Raw genomic sequence first — 4,786 nt, 5'->3', positions numbered from 1 at the left:
AAACCTGAAAACAATAAAACCCACAAGATTTTATTTCTTTTAATAACTTCTGTGACAATGAAATTGAAGTCTTACACACTTTTTTTTTTTTTTACTCCAGTGTCTTGTTATCTGGAGCAAAATTCAGAAAGGAGAGCAACTATGTAAAAAAGTAAGAATTTTGGCTTGCTATGCCATTCTTAGAGGTTTCTTTTATCTTTATATTTTCTTGAAATGTCTTGTGTAAAATTTAAACAACTTCCTGTACTATAAATAAGATATTTTGAAGGCAAGCATATGCATAGATAATACTTTAGAAAAGAATTGTGATTCCAATTCTGTACTTAGCACTTAATATTAAAAGTTTCTTATAGTGAATATAATTTTCTACAACAGATAGTACAATTTTGTTTCACCATTAACAGGTAAATAAGTAAATATACATTTAAATAAATATTATAAAGTTCATTTGTTAATTAATACAAACATTATAAATTATTGAATACTTTTTCCAATGGACAAGCAGCTTTAAAAACCTGCTTTCACCACTTTATTTATTTATTTTTTTTTGAGACAGAGTCTCGCTCTGTCGCCTAGGCTAGAGTGATCTCGGCTCACTGCCAGCTCTGCCTCCCGGGTGCACGCCATTCTCCTGCCTCAGCCTCCCAAGTAGCTGGGACTACAGGCACCCGCCACCACACCCGGCTAATTTTTTGTATTTTTTTAGTAGAGACAGGATTTCACCGTGTTAGCCAGGATGGTCTTGATCTCCTGACCTCGTGATCTGCCCACCTCAGCCTCCCAAAGTGCTGGGATTACAGGCATGAGCCACCGTGCCCGGCCTTTTTTTGGTATTTTTAGTAGACATGGGGTTTCACCCTGTTAGCCAGGATGGTCTCGATCTCCTGACCTCGTTATCCACCCGCCGCGGCCTCCCAAAGTGCTGGGATTACAGGCATGAGCCACCGTGCCAGGCCACTTTCACCACTCTTAATCCTCTGAGGTGAAGAGGTCTTTTAAACTATAGTTTGTATAACTGAAAATCAAAAGAAAAAAGTTTTAATGAAGTTTTTGTAATTAGTAAGAAACATAAGGGAATACCAAAAGCAAACTTTTTTGAATGCTTACTTTTGGGGAAGCATTGAATTTTATATCTGGTATATGATAATTCATATCTTAGGATATGCTCCCCTTTCTATAAGTAGGAATTAGGAAACACGGAGAGGTGAATTTTTTGCTCATGAATGAATTTACCCATTAGGCATTTTTGAGAGGTATCAGTAGTCAGCAGTTATCACTTTCTTCTACTCTTCATATTGCTAGAGACATAGTGACTCCATGTCTTATAGAATGTTCATTTTCTCTTTCACTTATCCCATATCATGTGCCAGCTATTGATCCAATCAATTTTAACAATGAAAGTTCTAAACCAGGAACCATTTACACTGGATCTTACATTTGCCCTGGGTAAGATGGCAGTTGATGGCAGTGTCCACGTGCATCAGGAAGAAGTCTTCATTAGCTTCATGATTTAAGTCCTTAAATGTAATTTTATCACAGAAAACATAACCTATATTCAAGCCTTAACCTTAACTTAGTCCTCATATTCATTGTTACCCTTACCAAGTTTTTCTTAATTGTATGCCTAGCATGCAAATGATACGGACAGGAGACAGGGAAATACAGGGTAGAAAAGGGCAGTTCCCCAGCAAAGGCCCCACCCTCAAGCCTGAAAAACCATGGCCCTAAATGAGGACAGGCATTCCTGTTGTCACACCCAAAAAGTTGCCTTTTGGCCTGCCATGCCCCATATCCTGTACCCATATAAATCCCGAACCCCACGCTCCAGAAGCAGATGAGCAGGTGAGGAAATGAGGAGTCAAACAGATGGATAGTAGAACGACACAGCAAAGAAAGAAGAGGAATGTCTGAATACCAAGAGGAGTTCAGCTGGGGGCAGTTAGGGAGAGGTTTGGAGACTGGCCAGTTTCCAGGGGAAGATCACCTTCCTATTCTATCCCCTCCTTCTGCCTCCTCATCCAGCGCACTGAGAGCCACCTCCACCACTCAATAAAAACCTTGCATTCATCCTTTAAGCCCGTGTGTGACCTGATTCTTCCAGGACGGTGGGTAAGAGCTCAGGATACTGAAAGCTGTCACACTGGCTCTCTGCGCTTGCGAAAAGGCAGAGGGTCCATTGAGCTGGTTAACACTTAAAATCATCTGCAGACAGCAAGGCTAAGAGAGCATCAGTTAACACTGTGGCTGCAGGCACCCACCCCAAGACACTGCCGTGTGACCAGAGAACACAGTGCTTGCTCCAGCCTCTGCACCCACCTGTCTGCATGATCCCTCTCCCTCAAGGGTTTTGAGCAGCAGTGGTGACCAAATAGCCAAGCCACTCCCCTGTTGCAAGTCCTGAGAGGGGGATCAGGGAACTCTCCCATTTCACTTAGGCAGGGAAGGGGTAAGACTATGGGATGGACTAAGAATGTAGATTTTACATATCACTTGGTAATTTGTTACAAATTATTTGGTAATTTTTTTTTCTTTTTGAGACAGAGTCTTGCTCTGTTGCCCAGAGCCGGAGTGAATGGCCAGTCTTGGCTCACTGCAACCTCCACCTCCTGGGTTCAAGCAGTTCTCCTGCCTCAGCCTCCCGAGTAGCTGGGATTACAGGTGTGCGCCACCAAGCCCTGGCTAATTTTTGTATTTTTAGTAGAGATGGGGTTTCACCATGTTGGCCAGGCTGGTCTAGAACTCCTGACCTCATAATCCACCCACCTCAGCCTCCCAAAATGCTGAGATTACAGGCATAAGCCACCGTGCCCAGCCTACTTGGTAATTTTTAAAAGCTACAGGTTTAATAGTTAATTTCTCAAGCAAATAAAAGATGTTCCCAACTCCAAACTGCTTTATTAAATAATTTAACCTAATTAAATAGAATCCTGATCATGGACCATATAGTTTATTATCCAAACTGGAGCCACAGGCAGTAGACAGGATTGAACCAGACAATCCTGCAAGATCACCCACCCTCCTTCAAAGAGATATTGTCTGTGAGTGGACATTATCCTCACAGCCTTATACCTCTTTTTTCCAATGGACAATTGCATATGAAATGACAGCAGAAAAATTAAAAAACAGGGCATCCCCAAGGGCAAAATAATGTAGGCCCAACTCAACACATCAAAGATGAAAAACTGCAGAATATAGCACTCCTCCAACCTGAGCTGTAAAAAGTTATATTCTTCAAATAATTTTCACTACCACTCTATATAACCATGTTAAATACATTAGCACAACATACTGATGAAAATAAATGTCTTCCAAGATTTGCACATAAATGCAAAGAGGATCGTAATCATTACTTTTAAGAGATTTGGGGTCAGTTGGTGTGTGTATAGGGGAGTGTGTTTTATTGTGATATAATTCAAAAACCATACAACTGAACAGTTTAATATATTAGCAGAGTTCTGCAACCATCACCACTATCTAATTATAGAAGAATTTCAACACCTCAAACACAAACTCCATACCATTTAACAATCACTCTTAATTCTTCATTCTCCCCACTCCCAGGCAAACACAAATCTACTTTCTGTCTCTGTGGTTTTGCCTGTTCCGGACATTTCATATAAATGAAATCATACAATGCCTTTTCTGGCTGAATTCTTTTTACAATATAATAATTTCAAGGTTCATTCATGTTGTAACACGTATCAGTACATCATTCCTTTTTATTTCTGAATGATATTGAATTATATGGACATACTACATTTTGTTATCCACTCATCAGTTGCTGGACATCTGTATTATTTCCATTTCTGAGGTATTATGTGTAACACTGCTATGGACATTTATGTGGAATTTTTTGTGGACATATGTTTTCACTTCTCTTGGATATATACCCAGGAGTGTAAATTGCTGGTCATATTGTCTCTGTTTTATAATACATTTTGAGGAACTGCCAAACTGCTTTCCAATGTGACTTCACCACTTTAAAATCCCACAGCAATATATGATAATTACAATTTCTCCATATCCTCACCAACATTTGTTATCATCTGTTTTTTTTATCTGAGCCGTCCTAGTGAGTATAAAGTGGTATCTCATTATAGTTTTGATTAGCATTTCCCTTCTGGCTAATGATGCTGAGTATCTTTTCATGTGTTTCTTAGCCATTTGCATATTTTTCCTTGAAAACAGTCTATTAAGATATTTTTCCTTATTTTTGAATGGGTTATTTGTTTTTTCACTACTGAATTGTAAGAGTAGTTTCTTTATGCTAAATACAAGAGCTGTATCAGTTATATGTTTTGCAATTGTTTTCCCTTTTACTGGATTGTTATAATAAAGAGTCTGACTCCATTATTGATGTGTGACTCTTGGCAGCTTTTAAAACCCCATCCTAATGTCTTCCCCTTCTGTCCCGCACTGGACCATGATGATAAGAAAGTCTGGGTTTTCCCACCTTTGGCACTGAAGGGAAGTTCAAACCACACAGGGGGACCCTCAGCCCAGCCTCATCTTATAACCCCCATAAAACCCCCAAACCATTGTCCTTTCTTGGCTCTCAAGACATTTTTACACCTTCTTGGGAGCCAGCTTGCTCACCTAGAAAGCGTCATCCTATGAGGGAATGTATTTCATAACCTGTTGGTGCATGTGTGTTGTCAGCAGTCTTGACATCAGTAACCAAATTTTGGGTGGGAGTCCATTCTGTTTATAAGATGTGGCCAAAGAATTATTTTTTAGTATCTCAATAGTGTTTTTCAAGACACGAAATTTGATAATTTTGACAAAG

This window comes from Homo sapiens, chromosome 4 (genome assembly GCF_000001405.40).
Source record: "Homo sapiens chromosome 4, GRCh38.p14 Primary Assembly".
NCBI lineage: Eukaryota > Metazoa > Chordata > Mammalia > Primates > Hominidae > Homo > Homo sapiens.
The sequence above is the reverse complement of the archived record's forward strand: the minus strand, read 5'-3'. Positions refer to the sequence as shown.